Source organism: Homo sapiens, chromosome 3 (assembly GCF_000001405.40).
Source record: "Homo sapiens chromosome 3, GRCh38.p14 Primary Assembly".
In the NCBI taxonomy this organism is placed as follows: domain Eukaryota; kingdom Metazoa; phylum Chordata; class Mammalia; order Primates; family Hominidae; genus Homo; species Homo sapiens.
The window spans coordinates 135,954,452-135,981,361 of NC_000003.12; the positions used below are offsets into that span (position 1 = coordinate 135,954,452).

The 26,910-nt window shown below is 39.0% G+C and overlaps 1 protein-coding gene and 1 pseudogene across 8 annotated transcripts in view, besides 4 other annotated features; one reads left to right on the forward strand and one right to left on the reverse strand.

The window, feature by feature from the left end:
• On the reverse strand, positions 4,824-5,139 carry NDUFS6P1 (NADH:ubiquinone oxidoreductase subunit S6 pseudogene 1; annotated as a pseudogene).
• Positions 10,851-11,669: an enhancer, noted in NCBI's record as "H3K27ac hESC enhancer chr3:135684144-135684962 (GRCh37/hg19 assembly coordinates)". NCBI's record gives its function as "activates a minimal SCP1, AML or CMV promoter by ChIP-STARR-seq in naive H9 embryonic stem cells {active_cell/tissue: H9 hESC(naive)}" and the evidence as "EXISTENCE:reporter gene assay evidence [ECO:0000049][PMID:30033119]".
• Positions 10,851-11,753: a biological region, named in NCBI's record as "H3K27ac hESC enhancer GRCh37_chr3:135684144-135684962".
• Positions 11,114-11,343: a silencer, noted in NCBI's record as "silent region_14755". NCBI's record gives its function as "represses an Ori minimal core promoter by ATAC-STARR-seq in GM12878 lymphoblastoid cells {active_cell/tissue: GM12878}" and the evidence as "EXISTENCE:reporter gene assay evidence [ECO:0000049][PMID:35858748]".
• The window catches only part of PPP2R3A (protein phosphatase 2 regulatory subunit B''alpha), a 182,167-nt gene continuing 166,533 nt past the window's right edge, over positions 11,277-26,910 (forward strand). For 4 of the 8 annotated variants that reach the window (XR_001740196.3, NM_002718.5, XM_017006787.3 and 1 more), the window contains exon 1: positions 11,277-11,398. The gene's annotated coding sequence lies outside the window, so the exon portion shown is untranslated. Of the gene's footprint in view, positions 11,399-11,546; positions 12,178-26,910 lie in introns of those variants that run through there. The other 4 variants (XM_006713686.5, XM_047448510.1, XM_011512956.4 and 1 more) reach the window with 2 other exon arrangements.
• Positions 11,474-11,753: a silencer, noted in NCBI's record as "silent region_14756". NCBI's record gives its function as "represses an Ori minimal core promoter by ATAC-STARR-seq in GM12878 lymphoblastoid cells {active_cell/tissue: GM12878}" and the evidence as "EXISTENCE:reporter gene assay evidence [ECO:0000049][PMID:35858748]".

Consider the following 26,910-nt stretch of genomic DNA (forward strand, 5'->3'; position numbering starts at 1 on the left):
TTGATATAGTCCCATTTGTCTGTATTTGCTTTAGTTGAGTGTGCTTTTGAGGTCTTACACAAAAAATTTTTGTCCAGACAAATATCCTGGAGCATTTCCCCTATGTTTTCTTCTAGAAGTTTCATAGTTTCAGATCTTAGATTTAAGTCTTTAATCATTTTGATTTTTGTGTATGGTGAGAGATAGGGGTATAGTTTCATTCTTTGGAATATAGTTATCCAGTTTTCCCAGTACCATTTATTGTAGAGATTGTCCTTTCTCCATTATATGTTCTTGGTACCTTTGTTGACTATGAGATGGCTACAAACTTGTGGATTTATGTCTGGATTCTCTACTCCATTCCAATGGTCTATGTGTCTGTTTTTACACCAATACCATGCTGATTTGGTTACTATAGCTTTGTAGTATACTTTAAAGTCCATTAGTATAATGCCTCCAGCTTTGTTCTATTTGCTCAAGATTGCTTTGGTTGTTTGGTGTCTTTTGTGGTTCCATATAAATTTTAGGATTGTTTTTTCTATTTCTGTGAAGAATCTCATTGGTATTTTGACAGGGATTGCATTGAATCTGTAAATTGCTTTGAGTAGTATGGTTGTTTTCACAATACTAATTTTTCCAATCCATGAGCATGGAATATCTTTCTCTTTTCTTTGGTGTGTCCTCTCCAATTTCTTTCATCAGTGTTTTATAGTTTTCCTTGTATAGATCTTTCATATTTGGTTAAATTGATTTCTAGGTATTTTGTATTCTTTGTAACGATTATAAGTAGGATTGTTTTCTTTTTTTCTGATATACATTGTCTATATATATATAATTTTTTATTTTTAATTTTTATGGGTACATGGTATATATATTTATGGGGTATATGATATATTTTGATGTAGGCATACAATGTGTACTAATCACATCAGGGTAAATGGGGTATCCTTCACTTCAAGCACTTATAGGATTGTTTTCTTGATTTCTTTTTCAGATTGTTTTCTGCTGGAAAATATAAACACTACTAATTTTGTATATTGATTTTGTATCCTGCAACTTTACTGAATTTGCTTATCAGTTCTAACAGTTTTTTGGTGGAGCTTTTAGGGTTTTTTTGTATACAATAGCATGTCATCTGTGAACAAGGCTAATTTGACTTATTTCTTTACAATTTGAATGCCATTTATTTCTTTCTCTTGCTCAATTGCTCTCACTAAGATTTCCAGTATTATGTTGAATAAAAGTAGTGGAAGTGGACATCCTTGTCCAGTTCCAGATCTTAGACAAGAGGCTTTTAATTTTTCCTCATCAGTACTATGTTACTATGGGTTTGTCAAATTTGGCCTTTATTATTCTGAGGTATAGTTCTTCAATACCAGTTCCATAAGGATTTTTATCATAAAGGGATATGGGACTTTACCGAATGCTACTAAAATAATCATATAGTTTTTGTTCTTGGTCTGTTAATGTGATGTATCATGTTTGTTGATTACGTATGTTGACACGTCCTTGCATCTCTAGGATGAATCCCACTTGATTATGGTGAATGATCTTTTCAATGTGCTGTTGAATTTGGTTTGCTTGTATTTTGTTGAGGACTTTTGACTCTATGTTCATCAGTGACATTTACCTATAGTTTTCTTTTGTGCTGTGTCCTTGTCTGGTTTTAATATCAGGTGAATGCTGGCCTCATATAATTAGTTTGGAAGTATCCCCTTATCTTCAATTTTTTAAGATTTTGAATATAATTGGTACTAGTTTTTAAATGTTTGATAGAATCCAGCAATGAAATCATCAGATCCTTGGATTTTCTTTGATGGGAGACTTTTTACTACAATTTTGATCTCATTACTCATTATTGGTTTTTTTTTAGGTTTTTTATTTCTTTTTTTTTCTTCAACTTTTATTTTAAATTCAGGGGTTACACGTGTAGGATGTGCAGGTTTGCTACATAGGTAAATATGTACCATGATGGTTTGCTCCACAAATCATCCCATCACCCAGGTATTAAGTCTAGCATCTATTAGCTATTCTTTCTGATGCTGTCTATCCCCTCACCCCCTACCCCCACCACTTACAGGTCCCAGTATGTCTTGTTCCTCCTCCTTGTGTCCATGTTTTCTCATCATTCAGCTCCCACTTATAAGTGGGAACATGCAGTGTTTGGTTTTCTGTGGTTTTCTATTTCTTCATGGTTCAATCTTGGTAGGTTGTATGTGTCTAGGAATTTATCCATTTCTTCTAGGTTTTCCAATTTGTTGCTGTATTGTTTTTCAAAATAGTCTATGATGATTCTTTGTATTTCTGTGTTGTTATGTCTCCTTTTTCATTTCTTTTATTTATTTCCGTCTTTTCTCTTTTTTTCTTAGTCTAGCTAAAGTTTATCAATTTTGTTTATCATTCTAAAAAACAATTTTTTGTTTCATTGATCTTCTGTATTTTTTAGTCTCAATTTCATTATTTTCTGCTTTCATCTTTATTATGTCTTTCCTTATACTAATTTGGGATTTGGTTTGTTCTTGTATCAGGGGAACCAGCCCCCAATATTTCAATGTAGGTTCTTTTCTATTTTTCCCTAAGTGTCGACCAGTCTGAGAAATAAAGAGAAAGAGTACAAAGAGAAGAATTTTACGGCTGGGCCACCAGGGGTGCCATCATATATTGGTAGGACCATGATGGCGACCTCAAGCCACAAAACCAGCAAGTTTTTATTAGGGATTTTGAAAGGCGAGGGGGTGTACGAATAGGGAGTGGGTCACAGAGATCACATGCTTCAAAGGGCAATACAAGATCACAAGGCAAAGGGAATAGCAATATCACAAGGCAAGGGTGAAATTAGAATTACTGATGAGGGTCCACATCCCGCTGGGCATGCATTGTCTTGATAAACATCTTAACAGGAAACAGGGTTCGAGAGCAGACAGCTGGTCTAACTAGAATTTACCAGGCTGGAATTTCCCAATCCTAGTAAGCCTGAGGGCACTGCAGGAGAACAGGGTGTATTTCATCCCTTATCTCAACCGCATAAGACAGACACTCCCAGAGTGGCCGTCTATAGACCTACCCCTGGGAATGCTTTCCTTTCCCAGGGTATTAATTATTAATATTCCTTGCTGGGAAAAGAATTCAGCGGTATTTCTTCTACTCACACATCCGTTTATAGGCTCTCTGCAAGAAGAAAAATATGGCTACATTCTGCCCGACCCCGCAGGCAGTCAGACCTTATGGTTATCTTTCCTTGTTCCCAGAAAATTGCTGTTATTCTGCTCTTTTTCAGGGTGCACTGATTTCATGTTGTTCAAACACACGTTTTACAAACAATTTGTACAGTTAACACAATCATCACAGGGTCCTGAGGTGACATACATTCTCACCTTACAAAGATAACGTGATTAAGAGATTAAAGACAGGTATAAGAAATTATAAGAGTATTAATTGGGGAAGAGATAAATGTCCATGAAATCATCACAATTTATGTTCAGAGACTGCAGTGAAGACAGGCGTAAGAAATTATAAAAGTATTAATTTTGGGAATTGATAAATGTCCATGAAATCTTCACAATTTATGTTCTTCTGCAGTGGCTTCAGCCAGCTCCTCTGTTTGGCGTCCCTGACTTCCCGCAACATTCTTGCTTTTCTAATTCCTTGAGGTACATCATTAGATTGTTTATTTGAAATATTTTTACTTTTTTTGATGTAGGTATTTATTGTTATAAACTTCCCTCTTCCTACTACATTTGCTGTATTCCATAGATTTTGGAATGTTGTGTTTCCATTTTCGTTTGTTTCAAGAAATTTTAATTTTTTCTTCTTATTTCTTCATTGACCCATTGGTCATTCAAGAGCATGTTAATTTCCATGTGTTTGTGTAGTTTCTGTGGTTTTGCTTGATATTGATTTCTAGTTTTATTCCATTGTGGTGAGGAAAAAATACTTGATATGGTTTTTAGTTTTTTGAATTTGTTCAGACTTGTTTTGTGTGGCCTAAGATATGATCTATTCCAGAGAATGTTCCATGTGCTGATGAAAAAAGTATGTTTTCTTCATCATTTGGGTAAAATGTTTTGTAAATGTCAGGCCTATTAGGTCTAGTGTGTAGTTTAACTCTGATGTTTCTTTGTTGATTTTCTGTCTAGGTAATCTGTCCAGTTAAAAATCCCTACTATTATTGTATGGCAGTCTATCTCTCCCTTTTAGATCTATTAATGTTTGCTTTGTATACTTGGAAGCTCTAGTTTTGGGTGCATAAATATTTATAATTGTTTTATCCTTGGCTGAATTGATCCCTTTATCATTATATAATGACTTTCTTTGTCTCTCTTTACAGTCTTTAATTTGTAGTCTATTTTATCCAACATAAATATAACTACTGCTACTGTTTTCCGATTTCCAGTTTCACAGAATGACTTTTACCACCCCTTCACTTTCAGTTTGTATGCATCTTTATAGGTGAAATGGGTTTCTCGTAGGCAGCATATAGATGGGTCTTGTTTCTTTATCCATTCAGCCACTGTATTCCTTTTAATTGGAGGACTGAGTTCATTCACATTTAGTGTTATTATTCATAAGAAATTACTTAACTACTGCCATTTTGTTGCTTATTTTCAGGTTTTGTAACTCCCCTTTTCCTTTCTTGTTCTTATTGTCCTCCTTTGTGGTTAAGTGATTTTCTCTGGTAGTATGTTTTAATTCATTGTGTCTTTTTTTCTTGATAGCATTACCCTTTATTTAGCAATAGGAATATCCTTTATACAGAACTAGTGATTTCACATGCTTTATTTTCAAAATCAAAATGCTCATCCACATACTTCAGAGGACCATGGGTTCACAATTCATTCTAATGATGGTGTTTTTTCAACTATAGTCCACAATAACCACATATCCCAGTTTTTGTTTCTTTGTCTATGTTTACACACACTTTTGGGTAGCCAAGAGCTCCCCAACCAGTTACACAATATTATCCAACTCTCTACTTCACTCATAGGTTGCTCTGTCATCAAATCAGTGGCAAAGTTTACATTCACCTCTTTCTGACAACCCACAAACTGAATTTTTCTGGAGTCTTTATTATCATCAACCTGGCTGGCATGCATGACCTTCTCTCCAGTTGGCAAGGCCCATACCCCAAAACACCTGGCACCTGAGGGCAGGCTCAACACCACTATGCTGCTCCAGCCCACAGCTGGTAAATCATTGCTGCTGCCATCTTCAATTGCTATTTTTAGTGACTGTATTACAGGTTTTGCATATGGTGGTTATCATGAGGCTTAAAAAAAATCTTATAGATATAACAAGTTATTTTAAAGAGATGACAACTTATATAAAAAATAAAAGAATAGACATTAAGGAAAAATAAAAAATAACTCTACATGTTAACTCCATCCCTCCCACATTTTGACTTTTAGTTGTCTCAATTTACATAGTTTTACATTATGTATCTCTTAACAGCCTGCGGTTAGTTACTATTATTCTTTTTTAATAGATTTGTCTTTGGGGCTTCATACTAGAGTTATGAGTGAATTGCATACTACAATTATAGTATTTAAGTATTCTAGGTTTGTCTGTGTACTTAATTTTACCCAGGGGTTTCATAGCTTCAAATGTTTTCTTTTTGCATATTAGTATTTTTTGTTTCGGATTGAAGAACTCCTTTTAGCATTTCTTGTAAGATGGCTCTAGTGGTGGTGAATTCTCTCAGTTTTTGTTTTTCTGGGAAAGACTTTATCTCTTCTTCACAGTTAAAGGATAACTTTGCTGGATACAGTATTCTTGCATGAAAGGGTTTTTTTCTTTTAGCACTTTGAAAATGTCATTCCATTCCATCTTGGCCTGTATGGTTTGCATTAAGAAGTCTGTTGCCAGACAAACTGGAGTTCCTTTATATGTTATTTGCCTGTTTTCTCTTGCTGCTTTTAGGATCCTCTCTTTGTCCTCGGCCTTTGAGAGTTTGATTACTATATGCTTTGGGGTAGTGTTCTTTGTATTAGATCTGTTTGGTGTTCTCTGATCTTCTTGTACCTCAACATTTATTCTTTCTCATGTTTTGGAAAGTTTTCTATTATTATTTCTTTGGATAAGCTTTCTACCCCTTGTTCAACTCTCTCTTGAACACCAATAATTTTTAGATTTGGTCTTTTGAGGTAAACTTCTGTATCTTGTAGGTGGTCTTCATTTATTTTCATTCTTTTTTCTCTTCTGATTGCATATGTTCACATAGCCTGTCTTCAAGCTGACTGATTCTTCCCCTGCTTGATCCGTTCTGCTCTTGAGGGTCTCTAATGAAATTTTTAGTACAGCAAGTGTATTTCTCACTTCCAAAACATCTATGGGATTGTTTTAATTACTTCAATATTTTTGTTAAATTTCTCTGATAAATTTCTGAAATGGTTTTCTGTGTTATCTTGGAGATCACTGAGTTTCCTTAAAAGTGCTATTTTGGAGGATTTTTTTCTATTTTTGCTTTTTTATATTTTTTTTATTTTTGACACAGGGTCTCGCTCTGTCACCCAGGCTGGAGTGCAGTGGTGCCAGCATAGTTCACTGCAGCCTCGAACTCCTGGACTCAAGTGATCCTCCCACCCCAGCCTCCTGAGTAGCTGGAACTGGAGATGTGCACCATTATACCCAGCTATTGGTTTTTTAATTTTTTATTTGTGGAGATGGAATCTTGCTATGTTGCCCAGGCTGGTCTCAAACTCCTGGCCTCAAGTGAACCTCTTGCTTCAGCCTCACAATGTGCTGAGATTATAGGCATGAGCCACCATGCCCAGCCAAAATTGCTGTTTTGAACTATTGGTCATAGAGGTCACATATTGCCATCTCATTAAAGTCAGTTACTGGTCCCTTGCTTTGCCCATTTGGGGAGTTTGTGGTTCCCTGTTTGCTATTGTTTCTTGTGATGTATATCCATGTCTTTGCACTAAAGGGTAGTTTATTCCAGTCTTCTCTGTCTGACTTGTTTTGGGTTTTATTGAATATATTTGCTTAAAGATTCTTCACTGCTACATTTCTGCCTCCTTTTCAGCTCTAGGTGGTGTCTTAAGCCCAGGTCCACCTCAGCTCTAGTAAATGGAAGGTATCCTGGGATATCCCAGCAATGTGGGAAGGCTGGCTAGGGGTTTGTGCCCAAAGTATCTGCAGAATGTACCTCCTACATCATGTTGCTGCTGAACAGACACTCTGATTTAATGTCTCCTTTGGCTCAGTTACAGAGCAGTTTCCAGTTCTGGGGATGGTAGTTCTGCCTCTCGATTTGCCTTTGCCCATCCTCCGGGATATTTCTCCCTTAAGGGACTTGCAATGTTTCTGTGGGCTAAGACAGGGACAAGTCTCCTGCCAAGGATCCCAAGATGGTGGGGAGCTGGTTGTCCACCGTGATCTCACTTTTTCCAGTGTATAAACTGATTTAGGAGGAAACTTTTTGAATGCTTGGTGCTGGACAGAATAGGGGGAGGGGCATCCTGAACATGGAAGTCATTCTCTTACCATCTGCTTGGAGCTTTTTCACTTCTTTGTGACCCTGCAAACTGTCTCATCCTCATATTTCAGTTTTGGGATATTATTGATGGTAATCTTGGTGTTGTGTATTTGGGTTTGGTCTTCTTTTTCTGGGGAAAAGGGGGAGCCGGCTTGCTTCTATGCTGCCATTTTGGAACCAGAAGTCTCACATTTAATATGACTATTGATATGGTTGGATGTAAGTCTATCGTCTGCTGTACTGGAAATTGGAAGTCTGTTGCACTTCTTAGATCTGTGAGTATATAGTTTTCATAAATTTTGGAAACTTTTGGCTAGTATTTCTTCAGATACTTTTTGTCTTCACTCCTCTCCTTTGGAGATTCCACATATTAGGCCACTTGTAGTTGCTCTTTAGCTCACTGATGCTCTTTTCATTAACATTTCTCTTTCTGTGTGTTTCATTTTGGATAATTTCTATTGATGTGACTAATCTTTTCTTTGGTAATGTCTAATTTGCCATTAATCCAATCTAATGTATTTTTATTCTAGACATTATAGTCTTCAACTATAGAAATACAATTTGTGTCTTTTTTACATCTTCCCTTTTTAATATGTACTTAACTTTTTTGGCATTTGGAATATAGTTATAGTAATTGTGGTTTTGTTTGTTTGTTTGTTTGTTTTTGTTTTTGTTTGAGATGGAGCCACTCTGTTGCCCAGGCTGGAGTGCAGTGGCACGATCTCGGCTCACCACAACCTCTGCCTCCCGGGTTCAAGCGATTCTTCTGCCTTAGCCTCCCAAGTAGCTGGGATTATAGGCGCCTGCCACCATGGCCGGCTAATTTTTTTGTATTTTTTAGTAGAGACGGGGCTTCACCATGTTGGTCAAGCTGGTCTCAAACTCCTGACCTCGGGTAATCCACCCATATTAGCCCCACAAAGCGCTGGGATTACAGGTTTGAGCCACCATGCCCAGCCATAGTAATTGTTTTAATGTCTTTCTCTGCTAATTCTAACATCTGTGATAGTTCTGGTCTATTTTTGATTTGTTGATTTTTCTATTCATTATGGGTTATACTTTTCTAAATTGATCAAGCCTCTAGTAACTATCCTTTATGGGAAATACAAGGTTAGAGGCACATGTTAAAGAACATCACAGCAATCAGCAAAATGCAGAATGTGGGAAACTCCTTATAACAATCTATTTCTTCAATATAAAAGTACAAGGAAAGAAAAAGGTGTAAGACATTTTAACCAAATGCATTGTGAGGAACTTGTTTGGATCATGACTGGAAGAAGTAAACTACATGAAACATTTATGAGAAAATTGGGAAATTTTGAACACTGTCTAGATGTTAATAAATTATTACTTTAAAAGACAATTTAATGATTTTGTGGTTGTTTTTAAAAATAGACCTTATCATTTAGAGATGCATAGTGAAATATTTATGGATGAAATAATAATGCTCCATGTGATTTGCCTTAAAATAATCCAAGGAGGGAAAGAAAAGGTGAGGGTACAGATGGAACAAATTGGTCATGGGATAATTGTTGAAGCCAAGTAATGGGTGCATAGTAGTTAATTATATTATTCTGTCTCTGTTTTCAATATTTGATATTTTTATACTAAAAAAAATTTCAGATGTTTTCTTGTCTAATAAGACTTGCCCTACTCTCTTCCTATACCTCATAGAATTAATTGTGCTCATGACTGCTCCCCTACCGTCATGTAATTTAAACATTTATTTTCAAATCTTTCTCCCTTACTTGGCCATAAGCTCCTTGAGAACAAAGATTGACAGAGTTTCACTCTGATCACCCAGGCTGGAGTGCAATGGAGAGATCTCGGCTCACTGCAACCTCCACCTCCCGGGTTCAAGTGATTCTCCCGCCTCAGCCTTCTGAGTAGCTGGGATTACAGACGCGTGCCACCACGCCTGGCTAATTTTTGTATTTTTAGTAGAGATGGGTTTTCACCATGTTTACCAGGCTGGTCTCAAACTCCTGGCCTCAGGTGATCCACCCTCCTTGGCCTCCCAAAGTGCTGGGATTTCAAGCGTGAGCCACCACGCCCAGCCCCTGTATCTTCTTTATTTTATATCATTTGTATTCCTACCACCTAGTACAGTCTGAGTACTCAATACATTGTGGTGAATTGGCAACTCTCTAGCCCCAATTCACCATGGTCCTCATGACAGAGAGACTAACTCTATTGTATTGAATCAAATTTCCAGTCACGTATTGTGTCCTTTATACATTCAAGTTATAATGTGTATAAATGCATGGCAAAAGGGCCAAAGGAGCCCTAATGTAAAAACATTGGCAATAAAACTGTTGAGACAAACCAAGAATCCAGGTTGCCAGGGTCAGCAGTTTTAACATTGTTTTATGGTACATTGTGTACTTTTCCTTCTTACTGATATGCATTGCACTGTGACCTTTGCAGAGTCCTATCCTGCCCTGCATTTTTCACAGAGTTGCTCTCAGTCTCAAATAAGATACCATATGCATGTGAAAGGGCTTTTGAAATGGAAAAGCAGTAGAAAGTTGAAAGTAAAATGGTCTCTTTCTCTCTAGGGCATCAAGGCATCTCACAGAGCACACTTTAGCTACTGGGAGGATTGACCTTGGGTGAAATTTCAGTATGTAAAGCTTGTTTGGGGTTATCTTACATAATTTTTTCTTTCCTTGTGCTATACACACACACACACATATATGTGCATATATGTACAATGCACATATATACACACACACATATGGCACCTAGTATATGCTTGGTGCTATGCTAGGTGCTGGGGAGACAGTGAGAACAACCCAGGTGCCCAGGACCTGTCCTCACAGCCCACCTAATCCTTTTAAGTCTTTACATACCTCCCATCCCCCACCCCCATGCTCCTTACTCATGGTATTCAACCCAACTGATTGACTTATTTATTGTTATTTATATGCTTATATATTTATAGATTTATCATTTTATCAAGATTTTTACGAAGATACTCAATTGGAGGTTCCTAATTCTGGAGAAATTTCCATTTTACAAATATATTCTTGGAGAGGGCATGATTATGGACCTGTCACATTTGAGTACTGTGGCAGTTAGAAGGAGGGCAATTTTGGGAGGCCCTTCCAGGCTATGTCCTTCCAGCTATTAATGAGGTTCTGTTTCAGAGCAGACCATATTACACGGTGTTATTAATAAATCTGGCGAGTGGTTATAAGGGTGTGTGTATCGGAATAATCCATTAAGCTGTACATTGGTTTTATATGGCTGTCTATATTTGTGTTTTATTTAACAGTAACAGTTAACAATAACAGTTAAAAATAAGTATCACTTCTTTTAAAATTCACACAACTTCTTGGGCTGAGTGAAATGTGGCGCAGGTGCAGGACTGTGGGAAGACAGGAGCGCCAGGGAATGTCTGGCCAGCAGCGCGCTGCCCTCAAGGGGCCTCCTTGAAGGCCCCTTGAAGAGGGCAACACAACTAATGACGATAACAATAACAACGATGACAATATTGACGATGACAATAACAGTAATAAATCCGAGCAAGAGACTCGAATCTGTCAAACAGCAGCGACCACCACGAATCGCATCCCCGCGGCGCCGCCATACAGGAGACTGCCCTCGCCGAGGCCACAGCGGCTCTCGCGGCGCCCCTGGAGGCCCCCTTCCTGCCTTGGCCAGAGGGGCGGGGCGTAGGCTGGGGGCGGGGCCGGAGAGTGGGCGGGGCCTGGCGCGTGGGCGGGGCTCCGGGCGGGCCGGCCGCCGAGGGTGGGGCCGAGGAGGAGGAGGAGGAGGAGGAGAAGGAGGTAGGGGCCTGCGGGTGGCTGGGCGGGGCGCGCTCGGGCCTCCGCTCTTCACGCGCCGCATTCGTAGCCCGAGAGTCCGCGCCGCGGGGAGGCTTGGAGGCAAGCGCTGCCCGCGAGCTGAGCCGCCGGAGGAGGAGCCGCGGGCAACGAGGTAGGCAAAGGAACACTGGCCGCACGGCCTGGAGCCTTCAGCTCCCTCGTCCCGGCCCGAGGGGGTGGCGAGGCTCGGGGCGGCGCGCGGAGGCCGGGGCGGGCGGGGCCGGGACCTGGGGGCGGGGACCGGCCTGGCCAGAGGGGCCACACGGAGCTGATTGGGCTGTGGAAGTCGGAATTCCAGTCGGTGCGGTGCGGTGCGGTGCGTTGCCTCGGCGCGGCCGGCCGGTCCCGGGACACGGCACCAGGGAGGTGTGGAAATTGCCTGCCCCAGGGGCGCCCGCGGAGGAGGGTAGGCGGGGGCGGCCTGGGCCCTCCCACTTTTCAGGGCTCCTGGGCCAGTTCGCCCGCACAGCCCTCGGGAACTTGTTAACAGGAAAGCCTGGCAGAGAAACAAATGCCAGCGTTTTGGAAGAACTGAGAGTCACGTCGTTAGGCGCTGAGGCTTTCTTTTCCTTCCCCGCCCCCTGCCCAACCTCGGCCCGACTTGGCCAAAGAAGGATGTGTCACCAGCTCCGGGCCGCGGACGGGATTCCCGGCCCGCCAGGAGCCGGGGTACCTGAAACAAAGGTAAACGGAGGCCGGGCGGCCCCTGGTCCTGCACCGCGGCCGCGCTGGAGCGCCTCGGTGGGTCTCTCCCGCGCCGACCTGGCCGCCGCCGCCGCGGAGGGGCGTTCTCCTGGGGGACCTCTCGATGGAAACCAGCTGGCCGGGCTTGGAGTTGATGTTGCATCCGAACTCTGTTGTGCTCCCGTTATTCCCAGTCCTCCCACTCTGGTAAAGCTTAAGGAAATTTTATCCAGTCTTGGTGGTCAGCAAATGTAGGGGAAGACAAATTATTGTTTGTAAATTATAAGGTATTTTCTAATTAGGAAATGGCCTGAAAACATTAAATTCTTAACACGTAAGCAAAAAAAGAGTAATTCCTTCCAACATCTGAGGAAGTATTCCTCCTCAAATCTTCATTTATGTACAAAACATCCCCCACACCTTTGGTGCCAGGCATTTTTCTTTGTTCTTCCTTAGTCTCAGGCCTTAGTTTCTTGTAAACAGAACCCAGCGCCTAGACCCTAAGAATTGCCATACTAGGTCAGAGCATGGGCGTCCAGTTCAGTAGGCAGCCGGCTTGTGTTGTAGTAAAACTGTTGTTTTTTTTTCTTGGTGGTATGTTAAAAATTATCTCAGTTTCTTTCAGTAGTCCATGAAAGCCTTTTAAAAATTTTCTAAGCCACTGCTAATTTACACACACAATTTATTTACATTTATTGCATCCAAATGGCCCTTTTATCACCTCTGGCAGAAGAACTTAATGGCATGAGATACTTGTGGAAAAAAACTTAGATCTTTTATACAATCTAGGAGCTCAGAAATCTAGGAGATTTCTAGGAGAACGGGGAAACAGATCAAAAAGGTTTTTAAAAAACAAAGCTTTGGGAAAGTGTTACTGGGGCCAATCTGGCTGTTGAGTTCAAAAATAGCTTTATGCACTGACAACCTGAACATTGAGCAGTTAAAGATTTATTTGTACTCATAAGTATTTGCATATTTTAAAATGTAGCTTAACATTCTGGAGAGTGAAGGGCCTATCTGACTTTATCTTGGGCTGAATTAATTTGGCCTTAATGTTCAGCTGAAACCAGCTACTCTGAGAGAATGGAAGTTTTGTTTCAGCGAGAAAGGAAAAAAGGAAATGAATAATTTTGGAGTATAGGGTACTTGGGGGCACCTGTTCAAATCATAACTTTGCTTTTAAACTCTTCAGAGACTCCTCCTTGCTCCTGACAAACATAGTCCCCACTGATCTGGCCCCTGTTACCTTTCAAACACACAGCTGAAGCTTCACCTCTGCCCTGAAGCTTTGCTTGACACCCCCCATCCCCCAAAAAGAAAACAGATATTTAAAAATCACCACCCTCAGAAGTGCAATTGACAGCTCTTTTGAGTGTTATCGTCCTCTGAGTCAGAGTTTCTCATTTGTAGTTCTGTTGACATTTTAGGCCAGGTAATTTCTAGTTGTGGAGGGCTATCATGTGCAGCGTAGGATGTTTAGCAGCATTTCTAACCTTTACTGAGGAATAGATACCAGTAGCACTCCACACACACAGTTGTGAACATCAAAAATGCTTACAGACATCGCAAATGTCCCCCAGGAGGACCAAAATCACCCTTAGTTAAGAACCACTGTTGTGAGCAGACTGCTGCCTTAACACTAGTGACGCAGCATTGTCCTCATTTGCTTAGGTGTTTACTATACTAAGCTTGAGGGCGGGAACAGTTATTTATTTAACAGATTTCTGAAGGCCTGTTTTGCCAACTGGACACTAGATTAGGTATGGAAATAGATTAGTAAAAACAACTTTGCATGCCTGGACCTTATAGTCTAAGGAGGGTGACAGATGTATACATGCATAAATATACATTTATCTCATTACGATTGTGTTAATTTCTGGGAGAAGTACAGGCAGCTCTGAGTGCATAAAACAGATGTCCTGATGTAGTTTGGAAACTGGGGAAAGTTTCCATGGGGAAGTGACCTTTGAGGTGGACGGTGAAGGATTAACAGGAGTTACTAGGTGAAGCTCACGGGAACAATATTCCGGGCAGAAGGAACAGATGTGAATACCTTGAGGAAGAAAGGAACAGGGCCGCTTTTGGGAACCCAGAAGCCAGGAACACGGAGAGTGATGACACAAAATGAAGCTAGGAAAATAGGCAAAGGCTGTCCACTAAGCAGTGGTTCTCAGTCCAACACTCTCATCAGAACCACCAGAACTTAAGACCGACGCCTGGGCCCTCCTCCAAGCAAATCAGAGCATTTTTGGTGGGTTCTGCTCCCTCCCCCAGCTACCATTTTCCCTGTCTTCCAAAGGAATAACCACTGATACTAGTTTTGTATATCATTGTAGACATTTTTTGTGGGCATTCAAGGAAATGCATATCTTTCCTCTTACTGTTTTACACAAATGGTAGCATACTGTACACTCTGTTTTCTTAAAAATGTCTTGGGAATCTTTCCACTTCAGTATATAGTTTCCTTATTTTTTTGAATGACTGTACAGTATTTCACTGTATGGATATACCATAGATTATTTAACCATTCCCCCACTGACAGACATTTAGATTGTTTCCAGTAATTTACCGTAAACAGTGCTACGAATATGCTGTTTCATATGTGAATAAATATATTTATAGGGTAAATTCCTAGAAATGGAATTGTTGGGTGAAATAAACACACAAACACATATATTTACATAAGTATATATTTATGTAATGCGTGTATATGTGTATATATTTGTAATTATTTGTGATTATAAAATATTCTGGTCATATTAGAATGCTTTGGAAGGAAACAAGATTGAGTGTGGGAGACAGCTGCCCCTAATTAAGGTTACTGTGGATAACATAGGAGAGAAAAGGTGGTGGCTGAGAGAAAAGAATGGTCGTATTGGAGATGGAGAGAAGTACATATATTCATGAGATATATTTAGGAGGCGTAATTGATAGGATTTGGTGGTTGATATGGTACAAGGGTTGAGAGGGAGAAATGAGATCCTAAGATGACTCCCAGGGTTCTAGCTTGCCCAACCAGTGAATGGTGGTGGTGTTACCTGAAGTAAAGAACATTTAAGGATAAATAGTTTTGAGATGAGTTTAAATCACAGTTTACATTGGGACTGCTGAGATTTTCAAGTGAGAGGTCACATAAGCATTTGACAATTCTAATTCAGAGCCAAGAGCAGAGGGCTAAACTGGAGGCACGAATTTTTAGGTGTAAATTAAAGGCTGTGGATGAAATTATCTAGGGCAGTGGTTGCAAAGCAGTAGCCTACAGCTGAATCTGACTCACAGATGTTTTGCCCATACAGTGGTTTTGTTATTGTTTAATTTTGAATTAGTTGCCAATATTTTAAAATCTGAAGATTTCTCATGAAAAATCCAGATTTGGGGTTTCTCTTTAAAAATGAGAAAATGTAGCACTACTGAGTTGGTTTTCCAATATGGCAGCAATAATTGGAGCTAAGTCACAGATGATCGCAGCTCTTCTATTTCACTACAGAGCCCACCACTCCCTAAAATTATGCCTGGCCCACTTTGCTCATTTATTTCTCTGACTGTAGGCTTTTGAGCATGTGATCCCTGGTCTGGGAAGAGAGCATAGAACAGTGTTCTCATCTTGGTTGCACATTGGAATCACTGAATGATTAAAAAATGCTAATGCTGTGGTCCACCTAAGAAATTTCTTTTTCTGTTTACTTGATCTGATTTGCTGCCTTGGACGAATCTGAGGTGATTCCACTTAGCTGTGGAAGTTGAGAACCACTGACAGAGATTAAGAAAAAAGGGCTCAGGCCCAGCATTTTGAAGTTTAGTAGAGGAGGATAGCCCAGGAAGAGAATGAGAAGTGGCCACAGAGGTACAGTGGAATGACGCCTTGCTCAGAATTAAAGTGTGCAAACTTAACTGAATGCGCTCTACCATGTTTTTTATTAAATGAGAGAGAGAAAAGTTTTATTTACTTGTATACAGGTGTGCGATATTTAACGGGCCATTTAAAGGATTTTCAAGAGTAATTTAAACAATATTTGGTTTTTGTCTTAGCTGTTTCCTTCACAATCTAATTCTAGTTTAAGATGCATCATAAAAGGTGAGAGAAGAATGTTTCAAATAGAGAGGTGTCATCAAGTAAAGATGTGGAACAAAAATGATCTGTTGAATTTAGCAAGATGGAGTCTTTGACCTCAGCAAGAACCATTTTAGATTGGAAGAGGCAGAAACCAAAATGAAGTGGGTAAAAAGTAAGGAAATGGGAGTGGCAAGTGTTGGAAATTCCTTTGAGAAGCTTGCCCAAAAAGAGGAAGTGGTGAGGGAGGATGAGGTGTCTTACATGCCTACAATGTAGGTGTTAGTCTGTTGGTTACTCAAACATTTCTCCTAACTTTTTAGGGATGTAGGTCAATGGTGTCTGATTACCCCTCTCCCACGTTCTTAGGGGTCTTGTTTTGGAGACTACTTTTTACTGAGAAGAAATTTTGCCAGGACTGTTGAAGGGGCTGACTCAGATGTTGGTGATTAGGCCACAAGTTTCTTTCTCAACTGGAAAGCTGTAGAGCTCCTAAAGGCCAGTGGTGATCTGGGCTCCAGTGACCCTGACATCATCCTCCCATTGAGCTGATGAACAAAGACTATATTGTTGGTATGCTGAAAATGGAATACTTGGCTATGTTAGGGAATGTGTATCTAACTGTGAGATTCCCAGGAATAGTTTTTGCAGCTGTATTTTTTCCAATTAACTTGATATTATAGCTTAATTTTCCAGTTGCATGCATGTAAAAACTCTCATACTTTGAAGTATTTATCATTGATGGTACCTGAGGGATATGGATGTAAGTTGGAGATGTAGGCCCTCATTGAGCTCAGAAAGAAGAAAGCACTGAGCAAACTGGTTTCCAAAAAGTTGTGTGAAGGCTTCTACCTCGAAGACTTGGTGTTAGAGTGACTATTTAGGATGGGTTGTAATGCAAATGGTCACAACCAGTTTGTCTTTTATCCATTTCTGCCACATTGGCAACCTTAACCTAGCAGAGAGGCTTTTAAGGTCAATTTTGTGCTTCATATTTCTAAGAGTTGTAGCCTGCCAACAGAACAGAAAATATAAGGGGTGGAAAATGCCAAGAATTATTGGTTAAGAATGGTTTTGATTAATTGAAGGCATAAACCTCATTGCTATACTCTTGAAAACAGGAATATCATCTTGTGAGGGACCAGACTTCATAGCTGTCATTGGTTTATCAGTTAGGTGGATGATGGTTAACTTCTGTATAAAGGATGACTTTGTGACATGAAAGCAGACCTTGGTCCAAGATGGTTTGTAATGTGAGTCCATTATAAGAAAATATCTTATTTAGAAACTTGTGTATGCTTGGACAGCTGTGGGAATTCCATCATCACAAATATGGTTAGGTACTATGCCTGGCTGGCAGTATATAGAGGCAAAAGTCCATTACCAAGGTGGTCCAGAGCTCCTTTGGTTTGTGGAGGAAACAGGATAGCTGAGTGGGGAGAGGACTTGGAGTCAGTTCCTGAGTATAGTTCCTGGATTTGTCAAGGGTGAACTGTGTGATTTTTTTTAATTGAGGTAAAATTAACCATTTTAAAGTGTACAAATCAGTTACTTCAGTATGTACATTCACAATGTTGTGCAGCCATCACCGCTAATTCTGGAACATTTTCATCACCCCAAAAGGAAACCCTGTACCCATTAAGCAGTCACTCGCCATTCCCCTTTACCCCTACCGTCTGGCACCCGCCAATTTGCTTTCTGTCTATATGGATTTGCCTGTTCTGAAGATTTCATATAAATGGAATCATACAATATGTAACCTTTTGTGCCTGGCTTCTTTCATTCAGCACAATGTATACGAGGTTCACTCAGGTTGTAGCATGTATCAGTACTTCATTCTTTCTTTGGCTGAATAATACTCCATTGTATGGATATACTACGTTTTGTTTATCAGTTGACATTTAGATTGTTTACACCTTTTGGCTCTTATAAATAGTATTGCTAAGAGCATTCTTCTACAAGTTTTTGTTTAAATACCTGTTTTCAATTCTTTTGTGCATGTATCTAGGAATAGAATTGCTGGATTATGAAATAATTCTATGTTTAAAAAGTTTTTGAGGAACTCCCAGACTGTTTTCCACAGATGCTGCACACTTTTACATTTTTTCCAGCAATTTTTGAGAATTCTAGTTTCTCCACCTCCTCGCCAGCACTTTTGTTTTCTGGTTATAGCCATCCTAGTGGGTGTGAAGTGGTGCCTCATTGTGATTTTTATTTGTATTTCCCTAATGACTACTGACGTTGAGCATCTTTTCATGTGTTGGCCATTTGTGTATCTTTGGAGAAATGTCTGTTCAAGTCTTTTATCAATTTTTTAATTGGATTGTCTTTTGGTTGTTGAGTTTAAGAGTTCTTTACATATGTAAATATGGATACAAATCAGGTTTATGATTTGCAAATATTTCCTGTCTTACTGTGTGCTGTTTTTTCACTTTCTTGTTAGTGTTCTTTGCACAGAAGTTTTTAATTCGTGTGAAGTTGAATTTGTTTTTTCTTTGATTGTGTATGCTTTTGGCATTATATCTGACAATCTATCACCAAATCCAAGGTCCTGCCAGTTTACTCCTGTGTTTTCTTCTGGCAATATATAGTTTTAGTTCTTAACATTTAGCTATTTGGTGGATTTTGAGTTAATTATTGTATGTGAGGTAAGGATTCAACTTCATTCTTTTGCATGTGAATATCCAGTTATCCCAGCATAATTTGTTGAAAGAGCTGTGTGATTTATGCAAGTCTGAGACTCTTATTTGTAAAATGAAAGTGATAAAAACACTTGCCTCACAAAGTTGTTGTAAGATTAAATAGGAGAGGATATATGTATTACCACTTTGAAAAGTATATATCATTAAACAAATACTCATGATTATTATTGGCATGCCACATAGAGCTTTCATTTGGTCAAGGCCGCATAGATTGATGTCCTTCAGGGACCACCACACATCTTCCCTCTTAGTGCATAGTGAATCACGACGTAACTAAAGGACTGTGATCCATGTTGTATCCCTAGGTCCAAAGTCACAGGGCCCCAGATGCAAGAGGTAGTTGGAGAGATTGCAGCTATCCAGAATTGAAAGTATATTTTCTTGTAGGGCATGTGTTTGTTGAATTCTGTTGCTATTCCTCATATTGAGGAATGTCTATTCTAGGTGTTTAAAGGCCCTAAAGAGTTTTCAGGCATAGTAGGAAATTAAAAGGCAGTTTCTTCTTATTGGACCAAGAATCCTCATGTTTCACTCTATCAGCTTTTAAACTTCCAGAACTAAGACTGTTTAAATGGCTAGTGATCTCACTTAGTTCAGTCAACAAATACTTACTAATTTATCACTATGTGCCAGGCACTGTTCTAGATACCGGAGATATAGTGCCTTTTAATATAAGACCAAACTCTCTTGACTTTGCATTCCCCTCTCAATTTGTTTTCTACAGTTATCTAACTCACTGACTCCAGTTCCTTTTCCACCAGTCTCTCTTGAGTCCACATTAATCAGGCCCCTTCCCCCACTGAAGCACTCTTGTCAAGCTCACCACTGACCTTCATGTTGCTAGCTCTAGTGAATCAGTTCTCAGTCTTCCTCTTACTTGACCTTTCAGCAGCATTTTACACAGTTGATTATTCCTCTTTCTTTGAAACGCGTCCTTCATTTAGCTTTGCTGCATTCTCTGCATTTCCCTCTCACCTTATTGGAGGTTTAGTCTTTTTGCTAGTTCCTCATGATCTTCCTGACGCCTAAAAGTTGGAGCATTACATGGCTCATTAATACTCCATTCTTCCTTATTGACTCTTATTTCCTTGGCATTTCAGTCAGTCTCATGACTTTAAATACCATCTATACACCAACAACTACATGCTGACTACCAAATGTATATCTCCAAGTTAGGAAGGAAATAACTGCAGTAACGTCTTTTCCTTGCTTATGTCCTTCTCTGACGGCCTATTCCCAACTCAGCAGCCGGAGGAATCTTGTTAAAAGTAAGTTATCCACTCAGAGGCTTTACACTTTCCTACAAGGCCCCTACATAATCTGAACTCCTCTTTGTCTTTCTGACCTCATCTGTTACTGCTCTTCCCTGTGCTTGCTTTGTCCCAGTCAAAAAGGGGACTTTTTTCTTCTTCCAACAAGCCAGGTATGTTCCTTCCACAGGACCTTTGTTTCTCCTAGTAAAGCTTCCTCCCTCGTTCTCTGTCTCCCTTCCCTTTCAAACTCTGCTTCTCAGCACTTTGGGGTAAAAGGGAGGGGTATCCTCCCACCCCAACCCCCTAGACTGAGCACTAAGGCTATCCCCTTCCTCTTGTTTGTTTATTCATCTTACACTTTCATTTGAACAGAGTTCCTCCAGTTGAAAAAGCAGCTTGAAAACTGCTTCTCTGTGAGATTAGAAATAAAAAGCAGAGATTAGTGGTTGTGAATGGAAATGTCATTAAGGGCTTAGGAATCCTAGCAAGGGCCACTTATCCCTTCCATTTTGTAGATCGTAGGCATATTTCCTATTTTACAGCCTTGGGGATTGGGCCCCAGAATACTGCTGTTGTGAGTACTGATGTGCTCCTACCAATGCCAAGTCTTCCATCAAGCACTGTGGCCCAGCTGTTAGCATTTTGTCTTCTCTCAACATGATACATCTTGGCAGTCTTGGTATTCTTCTAGTAGAAGGTTGAGACCCCTTTCCCATGGTGGGCCCTCAATGAGTGGAGGCTCACTGGGTGCTGGCAGCAGTATTGAGATCCAAGTATTAAAGGCAATTGAGGGTTCTGTGTAATGAAGAGTGTGTTGATTCTACTGAGAAATGCCCCAGGCCTTAAAAGGGCAAACAGGCCACATCTAGTGACAGTCTATCTAGATAGCAAGTTTAGACACTTCATCAGGGGCAGTGTTTCTCAGCCTTTGTCTGCAAACCTACAGGCCTTTATGTGGGCCCTCTGGTGGGTTCATGTTATTAAAATCTGGAATGGTGTCTGTTCTGATTTGTTGTTTTAGAAGAAAAGGTATTATTTCTAAGAATTTTAGCCAAACAAGTATTATATAAATACAGTCTCTTTGCTTTCCTTTTCCTAGATGAGCTGATTTCCTAGATAATAAACAAGTAGATAAATTAATATAATTTCAGATAGTAGTAATAGTGCTATGAAGAAAATAAAGTGGAGGGCTTTTCCCCTGATGCTGAACACTTGGGTTGTTTCCAATTTTTCCGTGTTTTAAACATTACTGCAATGAACATCCTGGTACTTGGGCAAATGTGTGAATGTTTATATTGCATAGATTCTGAAAGGTGGAATTGCTGAGTCATATAATCATATAGCTAAAATTTTAATTAAAAACTGCCAAATTGGTCCCCAAGTTATCTGTACTAATATTACATATATAAGATATATATAATCTAATTAAAAGCACTGATAATATTGAATACGTTCTCTTTGTAAGAGTAATTAACATACTGTTAGGCTAAAAATCTTCATACCCTCACCAATTTGTGAATTTTTGCCTCTCTTAAAAGTTGTACAAAATGGTATCTCCTTGTTTTAATTTTTATTTCCTTGGGGCTGAATATCTTCTCTAAAGTTTTTGATTATTTGTATTTATTTTTCTGTCTGTTGGGTTGCATAGCAGAGACTGCTGGTTACATCCTGTGATCCATTCTTCTTTCATCTTTAGTAATAGGAACCCCAGCTTTTACCCAGGCCCATTGTTGCCCATGTAGAACACTTGACCTCCTTGGAGCTAAGTATAACTGTAAGTTTCGGCTAGTGATATATAAGCAGCAAAGGTTAAATGTGACTCTCTGAAGTCTCCTTAAAGGGAGAAAGCACTCCTTTCTTCATCCCTTCATGTGTCTTATATGTTGGAACACAGATGTAATGACTGGAGCACTAGTGGCCATCATAAACCATCAGGACCGTCATGGTAGGTCAGTGAGCCAAAAAGGCTGGCTCTCTTGAGCATTTGGCAGAGTTGCTGCACTAAGAGGGAAGACTTTCTTTAGCATGAGAAGGAAATTTAACTTGTATTTTGTTTAAGCACTCATATTGCATTTTTCTAGAATACACAACATAACAGGTGCTTGCCTTTTCTTGTTTATTTATGTTGTAGATAAATAAACTTAAATAAATAAACTCTAGGTAAATAAACTCTACATACTCATCCTTTATTATAAAAATGGCATATTTCCTCCAATCTGTTGGAGTCCTCTCCCTTTGTGGTATCTTTTGTTAAATAGTAGTTTTTAATTTTGATGGCAAATTTCCCTATCTTTGCCTTATATGGCGTTTGATTTTACTTAACTTTAATACTTCTTTTCTGCCCCAAAGATACACATAAAATCTTACTTTTTAATACTATTTTTAAAATTTAGATATTTAAGTTCATCTGAAATTTATTTTTGTGAATAGTGTGAGGGAAGAATCTTGTTCAGTTGGCCATTCATTTAGAATAATAATTTTAATAGGTGGCATGTCAAATTATCAATTACTAAATTCTCATATGTGCATAAGTTGGTTTTAGGACTGTGTTTGGTCCCATTGATCTTTGTTTCTACACCATTAATACATTTCAAATTGCAGTAGTTTTATAATATTTTTTCTTGGTAAGGCAAGGTCCTCCTCCATTCTATTTAAAAAATGAAATATATTTAAAATTAAATATTAAATAGCTATAGTAGAATATTTGTAAAACATATATATAAGGTGTAAAGCATAGCAATACAATGAACACTTGTTACCACTCAATGTTAAGGAAAAAACATTACCATTCCCTTTGTCCTCCCACTCCAAAGTTGTCTTGACTCTTCTGGCACATTTTCTAATTGATGTGAAATTTTAGAATTAGATTATAAATTGCTCTTAGAATCAATTTATATCATTGACATTAATAATAGTTCTGTGTCAATAAAATATTTAAATATTTTTCCACTTAAAGATAACAGTTTGAGTGGTGTGATGCAAACATACAGTCGTTAGAAGATATTGCTTGAATGTGGTCATGATCTGTAATCATTGTTTATTGTCTGCTTTGTTGGTTTTTAACCATTACACTGTTTTTAATTGTTTTTAGTTGCATTTGTGGTTTTATTTGTACTCATAATGGACTGTTGGTTAAAGATGGAGCATGTGTGCAACACGTGTCAAAATATAAGTTAAAGAGCATAAAAAATATAATTGTGCTAAATTATTTTAAGATGCTCTTTATTAAATACATAAGTTGCATTCATCTGATCAGCATTCTTTTTTTTTTTTTTTTTTTTTTTTTTTTGAGATAAGAGTCTCACTGTGTTGCCCAGGCTGGAGTACAGTGGTGCAATCTCAGCTCACTGCGACCTCCGCTTCCCGGGCTCAAGCGATTCTCCAGCCTCGGTCTCCCGAGTAGCTGTGACTATAGGTGTGAGCCACCACTGCCCGGCTAATATTTGTGTTTTTGTAGAGACAGGGTTTCACCATGTTGCCCAGGCTGGTCTTGAACTCCTAAGCTAAAAGCTATCCGCCTGCCTCAGCCTCCCAAAGTGCCAGGATTACAGGTGTGAGCCACCACACCTGGCTGATCAGCATTCTTATAAAACATCAAGATATATCTAATATTTTTAAAACTGTATGATTAAAGGAAGCCAGGTGAAGGGTGTTTCTGTACTCTTTGCAACTTTTCTAGAAATGTAGAGTTATTTCAAAATAAAAAGTTTAAAAAAATCATTATAAAGTTAGAAACATCAGCCAAGCATGCCTTATATTTAAAGTTATACATTTATTTACATATGCATGTAATTGGCATTTATTATTTCCTATTCTTAAGCCTGTTCTAGAGAAAATAATTTCAGGTTGGTTCACCAAATACAAATAGTAAGGTAAAGGTACTCTGTTGAATCTCATGAAAGATAGCATAGGCCTAATCAAATTAAGAGGCTTTAATTTCTAAAATGAATTGTCAATTGAAAGACCCAATGTGGTATTAAATAATTAGGAAGTGGATTTCTTGAAAAATAATTCATTTTCACCTTTGTATATGATTGGTGTTGTGGACAACTGGATTTTTTTTTTTTGTAATTGTACCCTTTAGATAGTTAAAATTCTAAAAAGGAAAGGTTTAAACACTTGAAAATGTGAAGAAGAAAAAATATGGGTGATTCTATCCAGTTTGGCTTTTCATTTATTGGTAATAAAAATCTACAATGTGTTACAAAGAAATTCTCTCAAAGAGCAGTGTGAAACCATTTCTTCTACCTTGACATTTAAAAACTAAACCCCCAAATTATCAAAATAAGCAGCTGATCTTTATAAGCTCGAAAATGTAAGTATCAGGTTATAGATGCAGTTTGTTATTTTGGATGCTATAATACAAATTAATTTTTAATCTACATTTCAATATACATTTGGTGCTAAGTCCATCTTCTCATCAACCTGTGATTTTCTTTACATGACAAAATAGTTCATCTACTCTGAATGGAAGTTAAAATTTTTCCTTAAATATTATCAGTATTAAAGATTATGCCACAGAAACTTTGTAATACAATCTTTAATGATACGCTGATTTAAGATAAAATATTTTTACCTGAAATTGCTTTATCATATGTCATAAAATTTTTGTAAATGATTTTAAAAATTTCTAAGGAAGTTTGCAGTATTACTTTTAAAATATTTATTTGGCCAGGCGTGGTGGCTCATGCCTGTAATCCCAGCACTTTGGGAGGCTGAGGCAGGTGGATCACCTGAGGTTAGGAGTTCAAGACCAGCCTGGCCAACATGGTGAAACCCCGTCTCTACTAAAAATACGAAAATTAGCCGGGTGTGATGGCACACACCTGCAATCCCAGCTACTCAGGAGGCTGAGGTAGAAGAATCACTTGAACTCAGGAGGCGGAGGTTGCGGTGAGCCGAGATTGCGCCACTGCTCTCCAGTGACAGAAGGAGACTCCATCTCAAAAAAAAAAAAAGATTTATTTGTCAAATAAAAGGTTGAGAAACATTGATCTGCATTAAAGGCCTGACCACTGAAATTGTACTGATTGATGTCCGATTGGATCTGGATTCAGATTGGCCAGCCTGGAAAAGACATACCGTCATCAGAGTGTGGGAACACGATGTGTCATATGATGGGTCCCTTTAACTGAAGTACACAGCGTTGCTGCTCATTTTAAAAGGCTAACAAGTTTCCCCTCTCAATCCATGTTGTTGCTTTGGTTGTAAAAGTGGGCACATGGGCACATGTATTGCTCATCCTGCCATCATTATAATAAAAGATCAGAATGTCCAAAACATACTGGGCAGACAAAAAAAAAATATGGTAAGTATCCATTACATATGATAAGGGTTTTTTGGCTACAGATTAAATGAAGAGAGACACCAAGAGAGGGAAGGAGGCAGAGTATTATGATAGCAAGAGCTGAAAGAAAAATAGATGATCAATGAAGATGTATATTTGCATGTTGTAGAAATTGATTGGTTTTAAGGAATAAACATCCATTTAAGTAAATCCACTGTAAGTAAAATATTGTTTATAGTTAAAATACTCAGGGAACACGTTAGTTCATTCCAATTTTAGTAAGTACAGCCGCCATCATGGAAAATGAACATGCTTCTCTTTCTGTATTATGTCTACTCTGTTTTCTTAACACCAGTGTCTCCTGCCATGTTGCTCATCATGAATGCCCCGAAAGAGTGGCCTCAGGCACAAAATGATAGGACCTTTGAGACTCAGAGCTCTCAGCTAATTGACAGCATTTCAGTGCTTCAATTCAAAGTCCCCAGGACAGAAAATATAATTGGTCTACCTTGAGTTAGTGTCCCAACCAAATTTTCCAGAGATTGGAAAGCATGTGACACATAGTTTCCCCATCTTGCCTGTGAACAAGGCAGGTCTCTAAGAAGTGGGTATAAGTCAAGAGGAAATGAACGAAATATCTTGCTCAGTACATAAGACAGAAGACTTGTTTGAAAAGGAGTTAATTGCTGCCCCAAGCCTTGGGGGATTAAAAAAAGGAGCATAAAATGTTCCAAAAAAAAAAAAAGTTGGTAAGTGTATAATAGAAAAGGAAGGTTAAATTAGTTTATAACATGAACTACTTTTGCACTGGGCAGCTTTATTGCCCCAATAAAATTTATAGATGATTCCCACCCAACAGGAACGAGGGACTTTAGGAGGTGAGGTGAAGTAGATGACTGGAACTTTAAGTATATAACCAAAAATTTCCATAAGGTGTATAGACTCCTATACATTGGTATAGACCATCTTGGCCAAAATCTGTTTCCCTTAAGAGCCAGTTGCCATCATGATAAAGCCTGTTTAGGCTGATGCCTAATCAATCTGGTGATTTCCATGAAGTTCCACTCAGTTCAGCTAGCTTGGTAACCACTGATGTTCAAGTGTCTTAGTTTTCCCACACCCACGTAGTGGAGTTTGGTTTGTCTTGAGCTGTTCTTGCATAGCACAGATGAGTGGTAGCGGGGCATTTACAAGGAGGAGCACCACCAGGTGTAGGTGTACTGAATGACAGTGGTAACATCAGAAGCTCTTAATGGTTTCCAGTCATCAGTACATGTATGTCACTTTGCCTAAAGGAGCAAGGCCTGGTTGACAGAATGTCCTAAAATGTTTGGATAACCAGATGCCTATGCAGGAATGTGTTCTCTGGGGATTTGGACATAAGCTCTTTAAGTTTGGTGATCATGGTGATGTGGGTCCACCTTACTGGTGAGCCAGACGACTATTCAGTAATTAGACTTTTGTAAAGTAACTTGCTTAGCTGTAGTAGATTCATAATTGAGCATCTTGTTGGCGGTGTTTCTTGGTTTGTATGTTGGGGAGTTGTGCTGGGTCTTGGAGCTGTAGCAGATTGTCTTCTCTACTTTGCCTCTCTGTATTAGAGGATTTGGGATGGGGGCCAGGGGTGCTGGTCTTAGGTTCAAAGAA